The sequence below is a fragment of the Homo sapiens genome, chromosome 13 (genome assembly GCF_000001405.40).
Source record: "Homo sapiens chromosome 13, GRCh38.p14 Primary Assembly".
Classification (NCBI taxonomy): Eukaryota; Metazoa; Chordata; class Mammalia; order Primates; family Hominidae; genus Homo; species Homo sapiens.
This window is the reverse complement of record NC_000013.11, coordinates 23,976,764-24,002,963: the sequence shown is the minus strand read 5'-3', so window position 1 is coordinate 24,002,963 and position 26,200 is coordinate 23,976,764. Positions and strand designations below refer to the sequence as shown.

At 44.1% G+C, this 26,200-nt stretch overlaps 1 protein-coding gene across 2 annotated transcripts in view; it reads right to left on the bottom strand.

The window, feature by feature from the left end:
- SPATA13 (spermatogenesis associated 13) overlaps nt 1-23,162 on the bottom strand; it is a 327,268-nt gene extending 304,106 nt beyond the window's left edge. For both annotated transcript variants that reach the window (NR_104595.2, NM_001286792.2), the window contains exons 1-2: nt 23,040-23,162; nt 19,031-19,237 (exon numbers count right to left, since the gene is read on the bottom strand). Coding sequence is in view for 1 of the 2 variants with exons in the window: in NM_001286792.2 (NP_001273721.1) it covers nt 19,031-19,070 (40 nt within the window). In the remaining variant the exon portion in view is untranslated. The remainder of the gene's footprint in view (nt 1-19,030; nt 19,238-23,039) is intronic.
- Nucleotides 23,163-26,200: the final 3,038 nt, after the last annotated feature.

Below are 26,200 nucleotides of genomic sequence, written 5' to 3'. Positions count from 1 at the left end.
CCCCCACATTCAGAAAAAGAAAAATATTTCATTGAGCCACTTCTAAGGACATCAGAAGCGAAGGTTCCAATAGGGCCCAATCACCCAGGGATGACCAATGAGTTTGATTTTACAACACTGTGTATGGGGAAAGACAGAGCTGGATGGGTTCTACGTCCGTGCCTGCCAAGTAAGGACTGCAGAGCAGCAGCGGGTAGGAAACCTGTTTCCATCAGAGGGTACAGCCAGTGCTTGTGCTCGGGGGGTCACAGGTGCACTGGATGCTCTTCCTTCCTCAAGGAGCCGGACGAGGCTTGCGGCAGTCCTATTCCAAGGAGACTCCAGGAACTGGTGAATTCGTGAAGCTCCTGCAGTCTAGTCAGTCCAACCAGGAGGGATGGGGAGACTCAAAGACCAACACACTCACCCCCCTGACCAGGCCTCAGGCCACTGAGGCCGATCTGGTGTTTCCCTAAGCCAACCGTGCTTTCAGACACAACCACCACCAGCTCCTCTACTCCTTCCCCCAGAGTGTGTCACTCTGTCCCCTCTCTATGGAATGCAGAGCGACTGTGACATTTCCCTCCTACTCGAATTCGTTTGTCAATGCTTCTGACTCTGAACACTCCAAGACGACAGAACGTTTTCATCTACCTCCTGCCTGCAAGCCCAACATGGAGACTGGTAGATACCTGTCATTCAACATGTTCACCAACACGGTTTTTCAATCACAGGCATAGTGTTACAGTGAGCTATTGAATAGGTGGATGGACACATACATGACCATCATCTTAGACCTCTGCTTGTAAATGACCTCATGTGACAGAGGTCAAAAGCTATGACACTGCTTTTTTGAAGCCCATGCCTCAAACATGTACCTGACCCCACCTCTGCCACTGCACAGTGACCTCTCGTCACTCCCTCTCGGCCATGTAAGATGTTGACATGTGGCTCACAGTGCACCATCCACCTCTGCTCCCACCCGCCCCCTGGGTGACTTCAATGTCTACATGAGTGACATTGTGGCCATGCAGTCTCCTCCTCACCTCCCATGTCCCCTTTATCTCACCATCCTTCCCACAGCCACACTCCAGCCTCATCTTCTGAAATCACTGTTTGAATCTCTGGGGTCAGTGCCGGAGCCTCTCCCCACAGATCACCTGCTCAGTCCTCACCCCTGCTCCCTCACCTCCCGGCCCCCACCCAGTGCTGACTCTTTTTACTTCTTCAACCCATCAGGTTCTCTTTCTTCATTTCCCTCCATATCCACGGCCATCATTGAACATCCCTGCCAGTATCCAAAACTCCTCACCCCTCCTGCTTCCCACCCAAGTCACTGGGATGAGTGTGGTGCCCTGGTGGGTCTCTGCTAGGGTCTCCTGGGAAGCATCACCATCAGGACACAGGGGCATTCATGGGATTGACCCTAACAGACACGGCAGCCAGCCCGGCCACCCTCCTGCCTTTCCCCGCCAGCTCATTCTCCCCTCTCCACCGCCACTCCTTAACGCAATCTCCACTCTCCTCAAACTTCCAGCCCCACCGAACCCCACCCTCTCTCACACCTCACCTCTCTCACACCCTCCTTCTCAGAAGAAGCAGGTGTCCCCAGACACTCCCCCAACCTCCACTCCTGCAGCCTTCCCACGAGACACATTATCCCCGGCATCCTGACCTTAGCGCAGAGGCGTCACCTCCTCTCATGCCACTCACCTGCTCACCCTCCACCTCAGCGATGTAACACTGTTACTTTCCCCCGTGTTCTTGTATATGTGACTACTTCTGCTCTACTGTAACCTTAAAATGTAATGTGGCTGTGAGCCTGGATGACATTACCTGGAGAGAGTAGGGGGTGAGAGTAGAAGAGGCCACTCGGCCAGCCTGGAAGAACTGTGTCAGATCATAATAATAGTAGCCAAGGAGGACAGGGGGTGAGGGGAGTGAACAAGGGGGAAACACAGAGCACAGCAGCCAAGAACTCGGAGTGGGGAGAAGCTGAAAAACAGTGGTGCTATGTTACAGCAGCCTAGGAAGTAAACACTGTCCAGTCCCAAATTCACACCTCTGACCCAGGGAATCTCCCGAATTCACACCTCACCCAAGGCTCTGCCGAATTTACACTTCTCATCCAGGGCTCTCCCAAATTCACACCTCTCACCCAGGGTTCTCCCGAATTCAAACCTCTGACCCACAGCTCTCCAGAATTCAAATGTCTAGCCCAGGGCTCTCCCAAATTCATGCCTCTGACCCAGAGCTCTCCCAAATTCACACCTCTAACCCAAGGCTTTCCTGAATTCCCTTTCTTGAACACAAGCCTCTTTCCCCACAGGGCTTCTGCATGTCCTGTTGCCCTTTCCTGAGAATCCTTCTTGGGCCGTCTTCTCCACCACTTCATAGACTGGATCACATTAGCAAACATCTTATGTTGTTGCCGTGTGCTTGGTTTGTGGCCTGTCTTCCCCCTAGAAGGCAGGTTTGGGGATGGCAAGGGCTCTATCTGCCCTGAAAGTCATTCCTTGTGTGGTGTCTGGAAGGTTCCTCCCCACCAAGAGCTGTCTGGCTTAGACACCTCACCGCCCAGCACTGTCTTTCACTGGGCTCCCCACGCCTTCCATATTCTCCATCACTGGACTTTGTCGCCTGCTGCTCCCTTTGAAACCTTTTCTATCTTTGTATCAGCCTGGTTAAACTCTTACTCATGCCTCAGCTGCCCCAAGACCTACACTTCCTCAGTGAAGGCTTCCCAGCCCCTAGGCCAGGTCAAGCCCTCTGTTGTTCTCTTTCAGGGCACAATGTCCTTCTCCTTTCTAGACCACCACAGCTGACATTCTGTATTTGATTTTGTGCTCATTTGATCAACATCTAACCCTCCCACTAGGTTTCTTACCTCACCATCCTCGGTGTGAAATGCCATCTTTGTGTGGTTTTAATATGCATATTGGTGATAACTAATGAGGGCAAGCACTATTTTTCATGTTTATAGGCCAGATCGTTTTTGACTATATTCTACTACACTGCTTGTCTTTCAGGCCTGGCAAGTTAACCATCAGCTTTGCTGCAATTCAGGTATTTGGCCAGTAATATTAACAATAACAGAGCTACTTTGCATTTGCTTTGCATAAGTATCTAAATAGGGGAAGTCTGCTATAAAGAGTGAAAAAGAGGATTTCTGATTCTTAAAAAAATGAAGTAATAGGAACCATATTTACCCTCTCACTGAAAATAAAAGCAACCTAAATATAAGAAACACCAGTTTTCAAACATTAGATGCCAGGCCAGACTTGAGAGTAATCTCTGAGAGGCAGAAACAAATACCCTGAGCCTTTGGCTTCCCCAGTTATTGCCTGGAGGTTTCCAGGCTGCAGCTCAGGCAGAAGAATCCACCCTGAGCCTGGAGATCTCCCTGACTCCAGATGGAGTTGGGAGTCCCACAAGGTCAAGGTCTGTACACTTAAAACTATCACCTGCTGTTCAGGCAAAATAAAATGAGAGATAGACTGTATGATGGGTTGGAAGATTCAATATTGTTAATATGCCAAATCTTCTCAAATTGGTCTAAATATTCTACACAATGCTAATCAATATCCGAACAGGCTTTTTTTTTTTTTTTTTTTTTGGTAGAAAATGAGGATCTGTTTCTAAAACACATGGAAATGCAAAGTGCCTAGAATGACCAAAACAGACTTGGAAAAAAATGGAGGACCTATAGCACTTGATTTTGAGACTTATAAAACCAGTTATCAAGAAAATCAACATTAGGCTGGGTGCAGTGGCTCATGCCTGTAATCCCAGCACTTTGGGAGGCCGAGGCAGGTGGATCACTTGAAGTCAGGAGTTCGAGACCAGCCTGGCCAACATGGCAAAACCCCATCTCTACTAACAATACAAAAAGTTAGCCTGAAATGGTGGCATGTGCCTGTAATCCCAGCTACTTGGGAGGCTGAGGCGTAAGAATTGCTTGAACATGGGAGGCAGAGGTTGCAGTAAACAGAGACTGTGCCACTTCACTCCAGCCTGGGTGACACAGCAAGACTCCATCTCAAAAAAAAAAAAAAACCAAAGTTAGTGAAAAGATGGAAAATTGATCACTGAACACAAATATAAAGCCAATTGATTTTTAATGAAAATGCAAAGATAATTCAATGGACAAGAATCATTTTTTCACCAAATGATGCTGGAACAGATGGATGTTCATGTGCAAGAAAAATGAACCTGAATCCATATCTCAGGCCACATATAAAAATTAACTGAAAATGAATCATAGACCTAAATGTAAAACCTAGCTATACAAAACTTCTGTAAGAACACATAGAAGAAAAACATTGTAACCATGTGTTAGGAAAAGATTTCACAAATACAGCAAAAAATCACGATCCCTAAAAGAAAACAACTGACAAACTGGATTTCATCAAAATTTAAAACTTCTGTTTTTCAAAAGACACTGTTAAGAAAATTAAATGATAAGCCACAGTCAGGGAGAAAACATTTGTAAACCACATATCTGATAAAGATCTTTTATCCAGAGCATGTTTATAAAACACTCTCAACTGCAATAACATGAAAACAACCTGATAAAAATGGACAAAAGATTTGGATAGACATTTCATGAAAGAAGATAAAGATGGAAAATAAGAACAAGAAAAAAGCTCAATGTCATTAGTCATTAAGAAAATGCAAATTAAAACTACTCCAAGATACCACTACATACCTTTAGAATGGCTAAAATATTTTAAACTGATGATTCCAAGTGCTGTTGAGAATGTAAAGTAACTGGAACATCCTAGGGTGGGAACATTCACTGCTGTTGAGAAAGTGAAATGGTGCAAAGACTTCAGAAAACAGTTTGGTAGTTTCTAAAAAAGTTAAACGTACATATCACATGACCTAGTCATTTGTACCTAGATACTACCCTGGAAGAAAAGAGTACATTTGTCCACACAAAGACCTGAAACTGAATTCCTGTAGCAGCTTTACTCATCATAGCCCAAGACCAGAAACAATCCAATGTTCATTCCCAACTGGCTGCATGAACAATGGAATACTATCAATATAGTTTGTCCCCTCCAAGACTGATATTCAAATATGATCCCTAGTGTTGGAGATGGGGCCTAGTGGGAAGTGTTTGGCTCATGAGGGTGGATCCCTCATGAGTGGCTTGGTACCCTCTCATGGTAATGAGTGAGCTCTCCTCTATTAGTTCAGAAGAGAGCTGGTTGTTTATAGAGGCTGGCACCTCCCCCTCACTCCCTTGTTCCCTCTCTTGCCATGTGACACGCCTGCTCCCCCTTCACCTTCCACTGTAATTAGAAGCTTCCTGAGGCCTCAACAGAAGCAGATGCGGGTCTGATGCTTCCTGTATAACCTGCAGAAGCATGAGCCAAATAAACCTCCTCTTTATAAATTACCCAGTCTCAGGTATTTCTCTATAGCAATGCAAAATGGACTAATATAACTACTAAGCAATGAAAAGCCATGAACTAGTGATACATGGAAAGACATGGATAAATCTCAAATTATGCTGAATGAAGTAAAAAGATTTCATAGTATATGATTTCTTTTGTATAAAATTCTAGAAAATGTAACTAACTTATAGTGATAGGAAGCATCGGAGTTTGCCTGGGAATGTGGGTATGGGGACGGTCGGATCACAGGGGACATGCGTGTTCTACTTTTGGTGGTGATGAATATGGACATGGTTTTGATTGTGGTGAGTATACACATATGTACCACAGTGTACACTTTCAATATGTGCATTCTATGCCCATTATACCTTAACAAATGAAGAAAAGATAAAAATGGAAACCATTTCTGCTCACAGTATTTTCAGTTGAAACTGATGGTTGTTTAAGCAGAAAAGTCATCATATTCAAGAGCCCAGATATTTCTATCAATCGTGACTGACCCTTACAAGAGTGATTAGAAGCCCAGGATGAAAACTTGTTATTCCATTATTAGCTGTTCTTAAGAGAAATGGGGCACTGGGAAGAGCAATGGGCTCTCTCAGCCACATTCTCCTGCTTATAAGTTGGGAAAAGCAGCCCCTGCCTCCAAGATGATCTGAGAGGGCCACTGTGAGCACAAGGATCCTTATAAGGGAAAGAGAGTGGCTGGGGAGCCTGAGAAGGAGACTGACAATAAAAGCAGAGGTCAGAGGGAGGCGACTGCTGGCTCTGGAGATGGAGGAGGGGCCACAAGCCAAGGAACGCTGGCAGCCTCTTGTTAAATTATGTGTGGCCTAAAGCTGCCTCCTCACATATTTTAAGTTTGGCCTCAAGGCTTCTTGTGCATAGTGAACTGTAACCTCATTGATGTGTAAACATCCTCCTGTAAGCTACTCTTTTAATCAGTAGCCAAATCTCAGCCAATCAGCCAAGCACAGGTGGCCAACCATTAAAACTTGTTCAGATAAGGCAAGAGCCCAGCTGTGACCAACCCAGCTGTTTCTGCACATCACTTCATTTTCTTAGGTGACTTTCTTTCCTCTGTCCATAAATATTATCTGACCATGTGACAGCCCCAGTTCAGTCACTCTGAACCTCTTCTGGTTCTGGAGACTGATTTGCAGATCGTTTTTTGCCCAATTGAACTCTGCTGAATTTAATTTGCTGAAAGCCTTTCTTCTCTGGCTTATCTGAATTTTATGCCCTTCTCACCATTCTCTACACTTTTCGAAGAGTTAGATCTTTTCTTCTCATTTGCAAACTCTAGTGTTAAAACTCTAGAAGGTGGAAAGGCAAGGCGGCGGACTCTCCCTCATGGCCTCAGAAGGAAAGCAATCCTTGAGTCAGCCCAGTGAAGCCCACTTTGGACTCCTGACCCCTGAAATATGAGATAATAATCCCATTAGGTTCCTGGGAACTTGTTACAGCAGCAAGAGAAAACTAATTCGTAACCTACCAAAAACCCTTCATTTCCTCAGAGACTCCAACACACTGTTAGGGTCTGTTCTCTTCTGGAATGAGCAACCTGAGTTCTCTGTGTCTCACAGGTCCCATATCTATCTGCTCGGTTGTCTCTCTAGCTCTTCAAGTCTTTCCTTAAACAGGAAGCTCAGGCAGAGACAAAACACATGCTATCAGGGTCCAATTAGTACTCAGAATAAAAGATGACCACTTCCTCCACGCAGTTCAAGGCAGCCTCACCCTTCCCCAGTTCTCAGGAAACATGGCTTATCTGAATTTTTATGCCCTTCTCACCATTCTCTACACGTTTCAAAGAGTTAGATCTTTTGCTCTCATTTGCAAATCAATACATTAATTAACACAACCCCCTCTATTTCTCTGCCTAATTTTTTCAGGAGATTTTGGTAAGAAGAATCAAAACTTTCCAGATTACAAAATTAGATTTGATTATAGATATGAAAATGCATATCAGATACAGATGAAATTCCATGACCTCACATTTTTATCTCAAAGGGAAAACCTCAGTCGATATGGAGATTTCATCTGTTTTGAGCTAAAAACGGCTGCCAATTAGGGCCCCTGCCAGACCTGACCTCTGTTATTTCCTTCCCATCTGGGCTGCATTCATTTTAAGTTATCAGCATAATCAGTTATTTAAAAATAAGTCAGAAATAATAACAAGTTCAAAAACCAAGGCCCAGTGATATTGATGTTAATGTCAAATCCCGTTCAATGGGATTCATCACTTGGATTTGATTAAGCCAAACAGGAAAAACAAAATTGTCTTTGATTTACCTGTGTTCAAAGATCACACCTTTGTCTTTCTAGGGATAAAATCAGAAGATCAGCTAAGTATGATAAATAATTTTAACATGCAATTTTTTTTGTAGTGTTACATAAGCAAATGAGATTGGCATGTATCTTCAGGCTCTTAAGGATGTCAGGGTTCCCGAACCTTGGCACTACTGACATTTTTGGACATTGTGTTTGGGGGCTGTCCTGTGTATGGTGAGATGTTTAGCTGCATCCCTGGCCTCTACCCACTAGACGTCAGGAACAGCATCACACACACAGTCACGACACTCAAAACCATCTCCAGACACTGCCAGATGTCCCCTGGGAGGTAAAATCACCCCTAGTTCAGAATGCTGAGCTACACCAATTCACCTGTTTACAGCAAATGCTTCATAACAGTGTGCTGATATGCTTTTAACTTTTAATCTGCCTTTTGGCCTAAAATGTAGGGCTTGGTTACAAGCCATTTTCTTGATGACTCTAAGGGAGGAAGAATCTACTGCCTACTGACTATTAGAATTCTACTCTTCTGTTTCCAAAACTGAGTGCTCTTTATTCCTCTACACAGACCCCAATATTGCAGAGGTTAAAAAAACAGCACTCTATACTCATTTTAGTCTTTTCTCACCTTCATTACTCAATGATGAACAGAAAACTTCAACATGTCCCACGTGTGGTCATTAAAGACAGGCTCCTAGTTGTGGATAATTAGCGGGACCTACCCAACACTTAGAGGATCTCAGCATCCAGGGCCTGAAAGGCACCTGCAGTCATGCCGGCCAGTCCCACACACGAACCTCCTCCCCAACACCTCTGCTTCTATTCTAACAGAAAGTTCTGCCCTTGTTAAGGATGATACCTCATCCTCCAGCTTCCACCCTCATTGTGCTCTCTGAAGCCATGGCAAGATTGTCTCATTCCACCCTCTATACAATAGCTGAAGCTCCATCTGAGAACTGAAGCTCCATTCATACTACATGAGATATGTTTCAAATTCTTACCAATGAACATGACCCTACACAATATCTTTTTAATTATAGTTTTGCCATAGGTTTGGTCAAAGGTACTTTTATGGAGCAGTCTAAGTCCCTAATCCTTTCACAGTAGTGTTTCCTTTAGAACATTTTTCTGAGTTGGAATTTAGAAGGCCAGGAGTACATTTCCTTTACCCCAAAACTGTAAGAATGACAAGAATATCCGTCACTGGCAAGAACAGGCTGTGACGCCAATGCGTGGCAATCACTTCATAATTGAGAAGGACATTTCATTGTAACTCCTTGTTACTTGTCAAAAAAAAAAAAGAAAAAAAAAAAAAAACACCACCACCATCACCCACCACTTCCCAGACTTCAGGGAATCATCGCTCACCCCAGCTGGCTGCACCCTCACACATACCTTGAACATAAGCAAATTTAATTTCCCAGACAAATCTGTTGTTGGAATATGCAATGACCTCACCCTCAGCCTGCATAAATACTGCCTGCTGTGAGCAGGGGTGGTTTACAGCTGGATGGGGAGTTTTATGGGAAAGTACCTAGAGATCCCCTTAAAAAGCAAGCCTGGATGCTTCCTCTCCCTCTAGCCAAAGGATGGGCTTTCCTAGGTAAATTCTCACTTATCCTAGCCTGTGGGTTTGAATCCATGGTCCAACAATGTCACGCAGGGGTCTGTGGGAAGGGCTGGGGCATGGACAGGCCACATGCACATGGTATCAGGTGCTGGGCCGAGAACGTCCTTGGCAGAAACTGGCATCAAGCATTTGACATCTGTGAAACAACATCACTCTTCTGAGAGGTGCATGCTTTCTCTTATTTGCAGAGAAGCCTTATTGCCGTAAATGTGCAGACAAGGGAAATATGTTTGATGATGTGGGTAGTACACTGCTAGGAAGAACAGCACTTTAACACCACTTACTTCAGTCACACACTAGTTAGTGGCAGATCAACTAAAACCATTAATTAAAATGTCATGGTCTATGGAAAAGAAACAGTTGAAAGCCACTGCCTTGGACTACAGATGTAACTGGGCTGATCAGCGATGCTCTGAGGCAGCAGCTGTGATTCTGCAGTTGCAAAGTGCCAGGCTTAGGAACCCCAGCTGCCACAGTGGGCCAAGCCTTGGGACACTCTGTCCACGACCTTCGCCACAGCAGGTTCATTGCTCCTTATGTAGCGACTTAGACTGTGGACTTTTAAACCCATCTCTGCTGATGCTTCCAGGCTTTTCTGAAAGCACAGCAGCCTGGACCGAGCCCAGGCACATAATATGATGCCCAGAGCATGTTGGTGAAAATATGACAGGCAGCTCTCAGGGCACAGCTGGCTTGATGGAAATTCCCATGCTGCATTGTAAACAGAAGAATAGTAGCTGACACTTCTTAGCTCTTGCCGTGCCAGGCACTGTTAGAAGCACTTTACACACATGGCAGCAGCTGCCAGCAGTCATCTATTTCGGACAGTCTAGACAGTGTTTCCCAGCATTGTGGAGCCAAACGTGGCCATGTCCCCAAGTTCCATCCAACTATGGATGTGAGTTTGCCAGGAAGCTAATGAATCCTAGGCTTGCAGGATCCCTCTCCTGCAGGGCCCCTTTCAAGCTCAGGGAGGGGCTGTAGCACATGGACCACTTTGTGTTCATTTCTTAAAGAGAGTCCCGGAAATTGACCCTTCAGACCTCATCATACATGGGACTACCCCTGCCAACATTCTTCTCTGGTCTGTGGGTGTAATGGTCCTGGAAATCACACATCAAAGATACAAAGCCTTCATTAGCCTAGATCCCTGAAGACTTCGTGGAGCAGAGCCATCCACCACCACCAGCACCTGCCACCGATCAGACACACCTGCAATGGTCTGTATCCAGGCGGTAAATTTTTATTGTGGCAAGCCACCAAAATGTTGGGCTTTACTACAGGACTTAGTATCACCCTAACTAATACATGCCTTATTTTATATAATTTTCACAACAACCTTATATACCTCATGCTGCTCTGAAGCACAGAGACCTAAGTACACAAGGTCACACAGCTATTAGGAACAAAGCTAGACTCAGACCTCCTGGACACTGATGGAGGCAGCAGGTCCCTGGGTTGACAGCACATGGTTGGACTGCAGTTCTCCACTTTCTACCAAGAACCCAGACTTGAGGAGTGTCAGGGAGGGTGGTTCTGGATCTCAGAAATCTCACTGCAAATGGGCCTCACTATTCTAACTCACTTCCTAGGTTTTGTGAGGGTTACATAAAATAATCCATGTGAAATATTTAGCAGAGGGCTTGGCTTGTAGTAACCACTCAACAATGGCAGTGCCAATCATTACAATAACCCCATGATCTTCATCACCGTGTCCTCTTCCCATTTGGGGTGGCTTTCCACATTGCACTATACCAAAGCCTGAGTGAACAGTCTCATTCACCACTGCTTGGCATGGAAGATTTTTCTTCTCAGAAACAATACAGAAAGCAACCCACTCACCCACCTCCCAACCCCAGCCCACCTGCCCCCAACTCAGAGTCTCCCTAATCTGATTGTCTACAAATGAAGGTCACTGTGGGATGATTACTCTGTTGTCCTCTTGGTGTTAGGGGCTGAGAAGTATATTTACTTCTTGAACAATTTTTCACAAATGTGCACAATATGCACGGTGCTGGACTTGCTATGAACATGAGTCTTATCAATGCATTGGAGAAAAGAAGGCAGTAATAGCAAAGACAGCTGGACACTGCGGGCCGGGGCTCGCTAACTTTGCAGCATGAAGCCCAGTGAGGGAGAAGTTCCTTATGACCACAACATTCCCTGTAAATTTTCAAGGAGAAAAGAGGAGCAAGAAAAGAAGTCATCTGAGAGTGTCTTCAGCTGAAAGTTTGCTTACTTCAGACAGAGTGCAGTAAAATATGACCTTTGCTATTTTTACTGGACTGCATACTGATTAGACCCTAAGTCCCAAATCAGTGACTACATTCTGCAAACACAGGATTTATTGCCCTGAATCAGCCCCAAACCACACTTACATCTCAGAGAGGGACACGAATGTATTACAAAGAAAAGACAGCACAGGTTCTTAGACGGGCTGCCCTTGAAGGCAATTTGAGTGATGCTGCATTCCGAATCCATCCCTTCCTCACCAGCCCTGACCAGGATCTCTGCCTTAAGTTTGTGTGCCCCTTCTCCACTCAGGGAGCTGCCGCCCTGCCTGGGACTCTGCCAGGACAGTTAAGCAGGTGTCTGTTTCTCCTCTGCCTGATCTTAACCTTGAGCGGGCTTCATCTTCTTTCACTGTCTTTCTCACAAGGCCAGGGGTACACCAGGCAAATAAAACTTCAGCCAACTCAGCTTTCTCTTCTTGCCACACAGGTTTCAGGATTTGTGGGGAAGACACTCAGGGTCTCATCCCAAGACTCTGAATGTGTGATACTATCACAAGCCACTGGCACCCAGTCACATCCCATTTCCAGAAGGCATTCTCCTTTAGTTCTCCAGCCATCTGTCAACAGTCATCCATCAACAGATGTTTATGAGCAATCAATATGTTAGGTTCTGGGTGATCACGGGAAACAAGGTAGATGTGATCCTGCTCCCTGGGCATTTACAGCTTCGTGGGGTGCACCCTTTTATACAAGGAAGTAGACAATTATAGCATAGGGCAATTTGCAAGCTAAGGGACATGCTGGATCTGAGAAGAATCCACTAAACCAGGCTGGGGAGTGTTGGGCAAGACTTGCTAGAGGAAGAAGGAATAGAGCTGCTCAGGTTGGTGAAGACTGGGAAGTGGAACAAGGGAGAACATTCCAGAAAAAGGAGCAGATTCAAAGGTGCTGAAACAAGGGAGCACCCTGAGTTTAAGGAATTGAGAAATCACTATTGGGAACAGTGGAGTGTAGGAAGGAGGGGGCAATGAGCAAGGAAACAGAGGGAGTGAGCCAGGGCATGCCAGTCCAGAGGCCATGCTAATAAGTTTGAGCTTTATTCTGGGGGAGTGGTGGCCATCAAAGGGTTTTGGCCAGGGATATGGTTTTACAAAACCAGAGAGTTGCATTTCATAAACTCCTCTTGGTGACAGATCATAAAACTGCTGAATGTGGAAAAGTCTGAAGGCAACAACACAGCTGGAGGTGGCTGAGGGAATCCAGCAGGGATTGGGTGGCATCTCAACAAGATGGTGGTGACCAGGTGCAGGGTGGTGGACACACTGGACACTGGAGAGACTGTTTAGGTGGAACTGGTTGGCAGTTGTCTTACTCTGTTTGGGCTGCTGTAACAAAATACCATAACCTGGGTGGCTTATAAACAACAGATATTTATCTCTGACAGTTCTGGAGGCTGGGAAGTCAAAGATCAAAGTATCCACAGATTCAATGTCTGGTGGGTGCCCACTTTCTGGCTCACAGATGGTACCATCTCACTGCATCCTCACATAGTGGAAGTGGCAAGACAGCTCTCTGGGGCCTCTTTTCTGAGGGCACCAACCCTGTTCATCAGGCTTCTGTCCTCATGATCTAATCACTTCCCAAGGCCTCACTTCTGATACCATCACATTGGGGGTTAGATTTCAGCATAGAATTTTAGGGGGACACAAACTTTCCGCCCATGGCAATAATGTAGAGAATAATACAGAAAAGAGTAGATAGGTATGTGGAGAAGCAAGACAGCAAACTCAGGAACTGGGACGTTACTCTGTGGGTCAGAGGGATGAGTTCAGAGTGGGGCATGTTGAGTTTGAGTTTTCCAGTATGCAGTTAGCTGCATGAGCTTAGCAAATGATATTTAATAATACGCTATTTTGGGTTGTTTTTTTCAGTTCATACCAAGCTACTTACGTTTATGTATTCAACTTTTAAAAGATAACTTGAGTAAATCTTTTTTTTTTTTGAGATGAAATCTCACTCTGTCACCCAGGCTGGAGTGCAGTGGCGTGATCTCGGCTCATTGCAACCTCTACCTCCCAGGTTGAAGCAATTCTCCTTCCTCAGCCTCCTGAGTAGCTGGGACTACAGGCGCATGCTACTACTCCTGGCTACTTTTTGTATTTTTAGTAGAGACGGGGTTTCACCATGTTGGTCAGGCTAGTCTCGAAATCCTGACCTCATGATCCACCTGCCTCGGCCTCCCAAAGTGCTGGGATTACAGGCATGAGCCACCGCGCCCAGCCAAGTAAATCTTAACATTAAAACACATTGTGAGACTAGAAATTTTTATAACTTTCTCACAAAGATATTCTTTCTTCAGCATATGAACCATTTCAGTAAATGGACTACTGCACTGGACTCTCCCCTTAATAAAACCTACTGTCACCGAGCCAGTATTTGATCAATGGTGTTGAAAAGCAGGTTTTACTAATTCTCAGACAAAGCTCCTGTTTCATAGGAGAGCCCCCAAAGACTCCCACAGGCTGCACACTAGGGATGCCAAACAAAAGGACATTTTTCAACAACAGCCAATATAAAGAAGAGGGGGGAGAAAAACCCAACAGCCCGACTGACAAATGAACAAAGGAAATGAACAGATAGTTGCAGTAAAAGAAATACAATGTCCCTGAAACATTCAGAGTTCATTCAAAATAGGAGAAATGTAAACTAAAACCACACTGAGACACCATTTTCCATCATGAGATGAGCAAAGATGAAGGAATTTTTTGCTTCGTTGGTGAGGGCTTGGGAGACAGATTCTTTATAAAGGACACATGAATTGGTACAATCTCCACAGAAGGAAATTCATCAGCATCCAAAATTTAATGTGCCCAAAACGTTCTTCTCAGCAAATCAATATCAATAATTCTGATTGACCAACATGCTTGCACATGTGTGAAATGGTTTAAGTTCACAGTTATTCATAGAAGCATGGAAAAAACTGAAAGCCTATCCACAGAGAACTGGTTTATGTAATATGTTATCACCATAGCACAGAATACCATGAGGCCAGAATACCACTGAAAAGATTTAAAACAGTGAAGACCACCCAAATTTCCATCAGCAGGTGAATGAATAAACAAAATGTGGTATATACACATTATGGAATATTACTCAGCCTTAAAAAGGAACAAAATTGGCTGGGCGCAGTGGCTCACGCCTGTAATCCCAGCACTTCAGGAGGCCAAGGCAGGCAGATCACCTGAGGGGTCAGGAGTTCAAGACCAGCCTGGCCAACACAGTGAAACCCCGTCTCTACTAAAAAACACAAAAATTAACCAGACGTGGTGGTAGGTGCCTGTAATCCCAGCTACTCAGGAGGCTGAGGCAGGAGAATTGCCTGAACTCAGCAGACACAGGTTGCAGTAAACTGTGACAGTGCCACTGCACTCCAGCCTGGGTGACAGAGTGAGGCTCTGTCTCAAAAAAAAAAAAAAAGAGAAACAAAATTCTGACATATGCCACAACATACCTGGGCCTTAAGAACGTTGCGTTATGTGAAATAAGCCAGATACTAAAGGGCAAATACTATAGAATCCGCTTGTAAGAGGTACCTAGAGTAGCCAAATTCATAGAGACAGAAAGTAGAATGGTGGTTGCCAGGGGTTGGAGAGGGGAGTGGGAATTCCAATTGTGTAAAATAAAAAGAGTTCTGCAGATGGATGGAGGTGAAGGTTGCACAATAATGTGAATGTGCTGAATGCCGCTGAACTGCACACTTAAAAATGGTAAATAAAACACCAAACTTTTCAAATCCGGGGCTTTTACCTTCTAATTAGTCAACACATAATTGCATAACCAAATTCTTATTGGCAAAATCAGGTCTTTTGGAGAAAAAAATGCTTAATTCAGTGGCTGACTGCCTATGTTGGCTAAATATAAACAAGGCTGCAAAAATAATTTTGGCAGATTCCCAGAGCTAAGAGTAATGAACATAATATTTAACCTTAGAAGTACTTAAACTTTTCTCCAAAGAATATAACTCCACCATCATGGGAACTATTGATTTTTACATTATTCAAGCTATCTTTTATCCACTGAAAATGTAAGTATTTTACAAGCAGTGTGGCTCCTCATTTCCCGGTCATAGACATATTCTAATAGCTAGCCATGAAAATATTTTCTGAAATACCACATTAGCTATCTAAATAGAGACACAACCACTGAAAGAAAACCTGCTAAATAAGACCCCAAGATTATCCATCCCATAAACTAAGAGATCTGCTTTCATTATAAATGAATGTCTCATTTTACTAACAGGTTCAGTGTAGGTTTCAATCCTCTAGTTCATTTAAAATATCAATCCACTGCCTATGGGGTAGGCCTGCCCCATGTGGAGTAGTAACACACACACACACACACACACACACACACACACACACAGATATATCCATTCACCTCTAAAATAACAAGATTTGAAACTTGTCAAATTTCCCATAATGTAAAATGGTAGGTGATTGTGCTTCACTCTCAATATGCTGAACTCCTTGCACAACGAGATCCCATGATGTTTCCAATCTGAGGAAACTGCAGACATCTGGGTCTGAGATGGAATACAACAGCAAAAACAGCCTGACGTGACTGAAATTCCTGTGGCCAAATGACTGCTGTATGGCCCCGATGCTCTTTCTCAAGGCTAAGATCTTACAGCTAAGACATCATAGCCAAGAGCAGCTGAAGACAATGCTATCTCACAAAGGAGCAAACCAAAAAGATAAATTAAAGGTGAGAAATCCACACCTCTAAACATTTTCCCAGGCAGACTTTCCCAACCTTGTGTGTAAAAATGGAGATACCATCATCCTTGCAGCTTCCTAGAGACACTAGGGGACTCCTGGATAAAAGGCCAAGGGGTTGATCCTTGAGAGGCATTTGGGATTCTTAGAGAAGACATGTTCCATTTTAGGCTGGTTTTTAGAAGGAGCAGAAGGGACCTTAAAAACTAATCAAAACCCTCTTCCTGCAGATAACACATGTAAATCTCTGGGAATTTGGCTCGATAAGCATTTATGCAAGACTTGCACCCAGGTCTCCTGACGCTCCTCTGGCCCATTCTGATCTCTGTCTTGTTATCTAAATAAAATTCTTAGATGCCCCAATTTTCAAGATACAAAGGCTTTGCACAAGAAAAATAACATTTTGCTTGTTTGGAATTTGGCATATAGTTTCCTTAGAAAGAGGTTATACAATGACTAGGTCCCTGGGCGAGCCGAAATACCTAATGTGTACATGCGAGACCATGGTATGCTAAAAACACTTGCAAACCTAACACACCAGAACTGCATTTATTATTCCAACTTGAAATGCCAGGAAGGGTGGAATGAGCGACAGCTGCACTCCCTTCTCCCTGGGGACTCCTCCAGCTCCAGATCACTGCTGATATCATGAAGGGAAGAGCTGAGGTCCGCGGGTGAGGAGAAGCGCACTTGCAGCTAATCCAGGGGATACTTAGTACCCAGGCTGGCTTCCTCGTCCCTGTGTGTCTCTTCTCCCATCCGTCTCAGCGTATGGACCGCTGGCTGTTGTCCTCTCTTCAGTCACCATCTAGGGTTGTGACCAGCACTTTTCTCCTTTGCCCTGCTGTTGCCCTCAACACAGTCTTATATTCTTATGTTGCCTGTGTATCCTTCTGTCCTGGAAATGAACACTCAGGCAGTCTTTTAGGACTTTCCAATGATTTACGACTACTATCAATAATGAAGAAAGACAGCCTTCTCTTCCTCTTCTTCAGCCCAGTCCCTCTTATATTTCCTTCAGACCCTGATGAAATTCCTCCAGGAAGATAAGGCTTGAAACCCCACAGCCAGACTCACACTGGGGCAGACACAACCAGAGCTAGGATTTCCTGAACCACTCTCACCGGACTGGAGGAAGACCCTGAGCTGAAAAATGGGACAGAGCCTGGATTGGGGATGGGGTGATGTGAACATGCAGGAGACCCAGGTAAGAGGAAAGAAGCCACAGCAGGGGAGGATCTGGGCCTCTGGCCACTGAGCCCCCACATCAGCCGTTCCTGGGGTGGCCACGCCATGACACAACCTTTCCCATGATTCCCTGTGTGTGCTCACCCTCAGCAGGATCATAAACTACTCAGGAAGAAAGGTCGTGACACATTTCATGCCCCTGTCAGCACTGAGTATACAGGGAGTGACTGGTCAATACTTGTTGAGTGGTTTGAATTTCCAAGCCACTCAACGTCATTGCCATCTTCGGTAGCAGACGGGAAGAAAGGGCATTTCACTATGCCCACGCCTGAGGAAGTCATCAACAGCCAGAACAACTGTTTTCCCTCACTCTTTACACATCTGTGTTTGGTTATTCTGTTCCTTAATTTGAGGAGGGTGCGTCTGAGGTGAGCATTTTGATTAAAAGCTGCTATAAAAGCAGCAACTGAAGAGACCAGCTCACCTCCTGAATCTGTGCCATGTGATGTGCACGCCGGCCGGTTACACAGATTTCTGGCTCAAATAAGGAGAAACAGACCATTCTACCTTGCAGGGACTTGCATTCATGTTCAAAGCTGACTTTTCAAACTCCAAGTGCTGGCACCAATCCCTGTTCTAATTAAGTATGCACAGCTCTCAGAAATAGGCAGTCTTTTTTGGCTGGGATACCCGTAGCTGTTCTACACAAGAACCTGTTTCTGAAAGCACCGATCAAGGAAAGCTGCTGGATCTTGTCCAAGCAGTGCATTCCGAACACTTTCCGTGTTCCTTGGAAAAGCTCCACCAGGTGCATTGGAGCCCTGCTCTTCAGCAGGGATACTGCAGAATTTCATCCGGGGCCTCACACTTAAAAGTAAAGGGGTATGACTGGGGTTGGAAATGCGAGGATGACACAGACCACAGCTCCACCACTCACGGTGGGAAGGACAGGTGCTGCGCGGGGCCATGATAGAAACAGATTCCTAGAACAATGCACACGGTTTCTATTCAACTTACAGAGAAGAGCCAAGAAGCAACCTCATATAATTCTTTCAGCAAATGATGGATAAAATAGAAGACTACTCTCCCTCCCTTTGAAGGCAGAATATAAAGTAATGAAGGAAGTTAAGGAGACAAACACAAGTACTTTGAGACTCTGATGACTGGTGAATACCGAAACTTCTGTGGCAGAAGACTCTGGAACCTTCTTCTTTAGCTGACTTGAAACACAGTATTGATTTCTACCTTTACAAAACAGACACTATGTAGTCCAGCCAAGGGCAAGATACTGACCACAAGACCTGCAGGCTTCGCCCTAGACCCTATCATTTTATGACCACATATTTTAACAATTGGAGTTCTTGCCACACGTTCCAATTACACCCTTGTTAGTTGCTCAATGCCTCAGTGAAAACCTTCAAATTCTACTGGCTGCCCTTCACAAACAGCCTGAAATACTCTGCCATAGGTATCTTGTTAGAAATAAGCATGGATAATGCCATGCAGGCAGAAAGTTGCTCAACTTACCTTCACGGCCAGGATGTTTGTGAGGCCTACGCTTTGCCATCTGCACGGTGTTGCCATTTCATTTTCATCAGGCCTGTGGTGCTGCACAGGCAGCGAATATGACTCCCATCACTCTGCAGCTCAAAAAATGCAGATAGACAGGTCACCCCTAGCTGGAACTAGGCTTCATCTTCCCTTGTCAGAGCTTGACAAGGTTTGAAGCTGGCCCTGCAGAGATGAGAGTGAAAATAAATTATGAAGCAAGCTAGATATAGAATTCAGTTCTGGATGTTTTTTAAAAAAAAAAAACAACCAACAGAATATACTAGTGTAAAAATAAATGGCCACTATTTGCTCAACCATTTATTTGTGCTAAGAGAAAATACTAATGAGAATAACAAAGCAATTGAAACAGGTCAACAGGTTTTGTCTTCAAAGTCACAGATCAGTGTCCACTTTTTAAAAATTCTCTGCTCTGGGCTCAAAATTCACAGGATGAAGTCCTGACTCCAGTACCTCAGAATGGGACTGTGTTTGGAGATAGGGCCTTCATAGCGGTAATTGAGGTATAATGAGGTCATATGGGTGGGCTCTAATCCAGTATGACTGGTGTCCTTATAAGCAGAGATTAGGACACAGACAATATAGAAGGATGACCACGTGAAGACGCAGTAAGAAGGCAGTTGTTTGTGAGCCAAGGAGCGCGGCGTCAGAAAAAACCATCCCTGCAGACTCCTTGATCTCGGACTACCAGCCCCCAGCACTGGGACAATCAAGGTCTGTCACTTAAGCCCCCAGGCTGTGGTGTTTTGTGATGGCAGCCCGAACAAAGACACTCTCTCCCAACCCCTCACTCCCATTTTTGAACAGTGGCTGGTTTTCGATCAACTTCACTTGACTCTTCCTTCTCAATCTCACTTCATTTTGCTCCAGGGAGCCCCTCTCCAGCTCCTCCTTTCACTGGCCCTGCCCCTTTGTCTTTTGAAAGAGTTTCTCTCACCTTCTTCCCAGACGGCAGAGCAGCCTTGAGGAGGTGAGGGAGAGAAGGGATCTTGCACCTAGCACTCCAGGGCTGGTGGGAGACCCAGCCTCCCGAAGCTCACACGTGTACCTGGTTTGCAATGGCAGAATAAAAATCATGTGACACGGTCAGAAGATGCACCTCTTCCTTTCTGGGTGACCCTGTCTGACTCGTTCAACTTCTCTGAGCTTCTGTTTTCTCACATATTTAAAAAATGGTGATGTGAATTCCTGAGTGGTTGTTGTAAGGCTCAATGAAGATAATGCATTGAAAAATATTTCATATGCTAATCACTACAACTCAGTTTTTCTACCTATGAAATAGGTACTCCCTAGCATTTCACAGTAGAGTTTAATGAAAAAAAAATCAGCAAATAAGCAAAACTTCTGTGACTCAGGATAGTATCTATAAAAGTATTAGTTCTACTCTAGTTTTCATCAGTCCGGTAAAGTTTATTTTTGCTTTTTCTGCCAGTTAATATTTATGAAGAGTGTTGTATTTAGTATTATGAAGAGAATTCTAAAGACACAGAAGACCTGGTCCTTGCCTTCAGGGATTCTGCAATCTATTTGAAAAAATAAAATTTTAACAGTAAAATAGCTTATAAAATTAGTTCAAAGAGGTTTCCCAGGCTGCAGTGGAAAATGCATAGCAAAGTCTTCATGCAGGACCAGCCAGGTCCATACCTGAACTTTCTAGGTAGAAATTTTTCCTATGACCTCTCTAATGTGGCTGCAAGTGGAAAGTAAGAAATCTGACAAAAAATTTAAAAAGTTAATAAAAACTTAAATGATAACTAGTGTATTTTGCTTTAAACAAATCTAATGCTATAGCGATTTATTAAACACAGTACTTTAAAACACACACATCTTTACATGTTTTAAAATCATGAATAACCAAATTTAAATTTTCTCATTTACTTCCCAGGAACCCCTGGAAAAAGTATTATTGACAATGACAACATTCCAGTTGGAAGAACACATCTTCAGAATGCAATTGGTATCTGATTTTAGAAATACGTGACTTCAGATCTCAACCAAAAAGAAAATTGCATCACAGTTATTGTTTTTAAGAAATTCACTTACCATTATGAATGATCAAAAAATATAGTCATTCAGGTAGTGAGGATTTAATGATCAAAGGGCGAATGTTCCAAAATATATGTCATAGCAGTGGCTTTTGGATCTTGAGCCTGACTGGCCGTGAGACATGAGGCTTATCACCGCACTTCTCTGAGTGCTGGACTCCTTCTATTTTAAATGGGTCCAAAAATGCCTGCCTTGAAAGAGCAAAACCCACAACGCAAATGAAGTTCCAAGCTCAGCTGTGGTCTGTGTACCTGAGGCCCTGGCCAGTAGCAGGGGCTGTCCTGGTGGCATCTCACAATGAGAATGTACCACAGTGGTTTACAACTGCTTCCTAGCATTTCCGGCTCCCGAAACTGTGAATTTTTCTAATTCAGTTTTGTATGTTCTTCTCACCACTTATCTCTCTGCTCTCAAGTCTAGCACTGTACACAGCACATAGTAGAGCCTCAGTAAATGTTTGATGAATGAGTATCTGAGTAAACAAATAACATAATTTGTAAAATAGAAGTACTATTGTAGCTACAAAAAAACTGCTCTAAAAAAGATCATTCGAACCCCTTGACATTTTTTTTTTCCTATGGTATATGGCTAAAACAAGTAATCTTTGACATAGTAAGACAAAATCACCTAGCACATCTCCATGTATGAAAATACCCATAGAAATAAAATGAGGCTGATGCTCTCTAGTCCTTTGTGAAAGTCGCCATCTTTCCAACAGTAGAACTGTCTGCATTTTTAGTGCTGGGCCTAATATTTAGTACTGCTACCGGCTTTATATATTTTTCTTTTGCAAATGTTTTTGGTTAGTATGTTTGAAAAGCTGAGGAACAATTCGTTTCGTGGATCCAAATCTGGTTCTGTACTTTACTTTTTAAATGATAATTAAGGAACTCCCATCAGTAGATGCTACCTTAAAAACGAGGAAATACAACGTATTTTTTAAAAAACTTTGTTGGCCAGGCGCAGTGGCTCAAGCTTCTAATCCCAGCACTTAGGGAGGCCGAGGCGGGCGGATCACCTGAGGTCAGGAGTTTGAGACCAGCCTGGCCATTATGGTGAAACCCTTTCTCTATTAAAAATACAAAAATTAGCCTTGTGTAGCGACGGCCGCCTGTAATCCCAGCTACTCGGGAGGGTGAGGCAGGAGAATCGCTTGAACCCGGGAGGCAGAGGTTTCAGTGAGCTAAGATCCGCCACTGCCCTCCAACCTGGGCGACAAAGTAAGACTGTCTCAAAACGAACAAAACAAAACAAAACTTCGTTAAGTAGGAGTACTATTCTTGTTCATGTCTTCCATAACACCACAATCCAAATATTTTCAAAAGCAGAGCATTAAGGTATTAAGTAGGTGATAGTTTATTCCCTAACCAAGTGACAGAGGCTGCCAGCGGACTGTGGATTGACACCGACAGACACACACACCAACGAAGCATCAGAGTGGGGGCTCACGCAGTGACGCTGAGCACCGGGAGATTTCGGCCTCCCCCGCGGCTCCTCCGTCGCCCGGCAACACAGCCACGCTGCGGCTCGGCCCCTCCCCCGCTGCCATGGCAACGCGACCGCCAGGCTGGCTTTGTGCAACTACTGCCCCGGCGCCCCTATGCGCTCACCCCTTGAGCCTGCTGGGGCCGCGGCAACTTTTCTTTTCTTCTTTTTTTTTTGAGACGGAGTCTCGCTCTGTCGCCGAGGATGGAGTGGCGCGATCTCGGCTCACTGCAAGCTCGGCCATGACAACTTCTCTAACCTCACCGCACCTATAGCTCTATCCCTTCTCCTACCCGGAGCCGCTGATCATCAACTTTCACCCCCCACTTCAGGAAAAAAATGTTCCACGGGCACAGGATTTCGGCCAAATGCTGCTTGGCTCTACCTTCTCCAAAAGTGCGGGCGAGGTGACAATATGTAGAGAAATCCCACTTGCCTGTCTCAGCATCCCTCCTACGTCCTCAGAGGGTCCTTGGAGGGATCCCAGCATCCCGCTCCGAGCTGGAAGGGGGAGGAAGGTCACGGAGAAGCCGACTGGAAACTGTCCCGGGTGCGCGCCGCCCCCATGCCCTGCGCCCTCTTCATTTCCTCGGCCAGGGCGGGACCTCCCAGCCGCTGGGCCCAGGACCGCAGCGAATCAGTCTCTGGCTCCCCGCCCAGCAGAACTCAGACAGGCTCTGGACGGCTGTCCGAATGCCGCGTTTCCCTGGCGATGAGCAGTTCCGCATCACCCTCTGCGGCTAGCTCGGCTTCCAGGGCCGGGGCTGTGCTATTGTTTGCTGTTCTTCGTGGGTAGGACGGTGGGGGGCCCGGGCTGAGCCCGGAGCAGGAGGACCTGGGGTGAATTTCTTGCAGGCCTTTTCTCTCCCTTCTCCCAACCCCTTACTGTTGCATATTCATAAGAAGGCGGGGTCGTTTCCCATCTCCTTTAAAATTTCCCAGGCTTGAGGATCAGCGGAAAAGAATTGGGGTATAATTCTTTTCCCCTGACACAGACAAGCAAATACAGGATTCCTGTTCACAATTTCTTCCTCCACCCTCAGGCAGCAAGGACACACACACACACACACACACACTCACACACACACTTCTTAATTTCAAAGAGATCCTGACTGAAGTGGGAATCAAGTTTCCAACACGTGAACTTTAGCAGATACATTCAAACCATAGCAGGTGGTAAAATTATCATGACTGGAAGATGATATAATTATATCCCAAGATAATCAATTGTTAAACTATTAGATACAAAGGAAATTAGAAAGTAACAATATATAAAAGATCACTATGTGGGCTCAGTAGCAGAATGTAGGTGACAGAATTCATTGGTGAACTTGAAGATAGACCAATAGAAAGTATTCAATTGAAAAACAGAGGGCTGGCATGGTGCCTCATGCCTATAATCCCAGCATTTTGGGAGGCCAAGGTGAGGCCAGGAGTTCAAGAGCAGCTGGGAGACATAGCAAGACCGCCATCTCTACCAAAAAAAAAAATTTTTTTAATTAGTTGGGTGTGGTGCTGCATGCTTGTACTCCAGCTGCTCCAGTGGTTGAGGAGGGAAGATCGCTTGAGCCCAGGAGGTTGAGGTTGCAGCGAGCTGTGACTGTACCACTGCACTCCACAAAATGAGACCCTGTCTCAAAAACAAACAAAAAAAGACAAATAGAGAATGTTAGGAGACCTGTGAACAGCACTCCAGCCTGGGCAACAGAGAAACTCCATCCCTGAAAAAAAAGTAAATATAAATAGATGAAACAGTCGAACCAAAAGACAGAGATTAGCAGGTGGAATATATTAATAAAAACAAGAACGTATGTGCTGTCTACAAAAGATGCTATTTAAATGCAAAAGTACAAATGAGTCGAAAGTAAAAGAATGAAAAAACGCATACCATGGAAACATAAGAAAGCATCAGAAAGCTGAAGTAGCTGCATTACCACAAAGAGATTTTAAGAAAAAAGTGGTGCTAGAGATAAACAAGATCATCTCATAATGATATAAACCCAAAGTAAGTAGAAGGAAAGAAATAATAAAGGTAACAGTGGAAATCAATGAAACAGAAAACGGACACACTCAAAAGTCAATGGAATCAAAAGCTTGCTCTCTGAAAATTGATAAACTTTTAGCCAACCTGGTCAATTAAAAATCAATGGCCACAGGCCAGGTGCCCAGTAGCTCACGCTTGTAATCCCAGCACTTTGGGAGGCCGAGACAGGTGGATCACTTGAAGTTAGGAGTTTGAGACCAGCCTGACCAACATGGTAAACCCCATCTCTACTAAAAATACAAAAATTAGCCGGGTGTGGTGATGCGTGCCTGTAATCCCAGCTACTCCAGAGTCGGAGGCAGGAGGATTGCTTGAACCCAGGAGGTGAAGGGATGCAGTCAGCAGATACTGCACCACTGCACTCCAGCCTGGGTGACAGAGCTAGAACCTGTCTCAAAAAAATAAATAAATAAATAAAAAAGAAAAGAAAAAGAAAAAATTATCAATATCAGAAATGGGAGAGAATTATTGGTACAGTTCTTACAGTTATCAAAAGAAAAATAAGAAAAAAAATTGTGAGCAACACTATGCCAAAAAGTTCAATAATTTAGATAAAAAAGATTCTCTGAAAGACAGAAATTACAAAAACAGACTCACAAAAACCCAGAAGACCCAGATTGCCCTACAACAAATTACTATTACGATTCCTATGAAACAGTGTCTCACTTTTTTGCCCAGGCTGGACTTCAGTGGCCTGACCATGGCTCACAGCAGCCTGGACCTCTTGGGCTCAAGTGATCCTCCCACCTCAGCCTCCTCAGTAACTAGGACTACAGGCACACACCACCAAGCCTAGTTAATTAAAAAAAAAATTTTTTTTGTAGATACAAGGTCTCCTTACAGTGCTCAGACTGGTCTTGAATTCCAGGGCTTAAGCAATCCTCCCACCTTAACCTCCCAAAGTGCTGAGCTTACAGGTATGAGCCACTGTGCCCAGACTATTAGTAAAAATTATTTTTTAAATAAAAACTTTTCGACAGAGAAAACTCCAGACTCTGATGACTTCATGGTGAATTTTATGAAATATTTAAGTTTTTTGAAACATTTAAGTTTTAACATGTTAAGTGAAAAAATTATGTTTTAACACATAACCATCTCTCCCAAACTATGTCAGGTAAAAGAAGAGGGAATACTGCTCTACTCATTTTATAAGGCCTGCAATACCTTGGTTTAATACTTGACAGAGACATACTAAGAAAACTATAGACTAATATCCTTCATGAAAATAAATGCAAAAATTTTAAACAAAATATTAAGAAATTGAATCTAGCAATTTTTTTTAAAAAAGTACCATGATCAACTGGTGTTTCTCCAACAAATGCAATGTTGCTTTGATATGAAAAGCAAATAATATAATTCACCATTTTAATAGAATATAGGAGAAAAATCATGTGATCATTTCAACAGATGCAGGAAAAAACTATTTGACAAAGTTCAACACCAATTCATGATAAAACTCTTGGCAAACTCAGAATAGGATGAAATTTCCTCAACCTAAAAAAGGGCATCTGTAAAAAACTTAGAGCTAACATCATATTTAATTGTGAAAAACT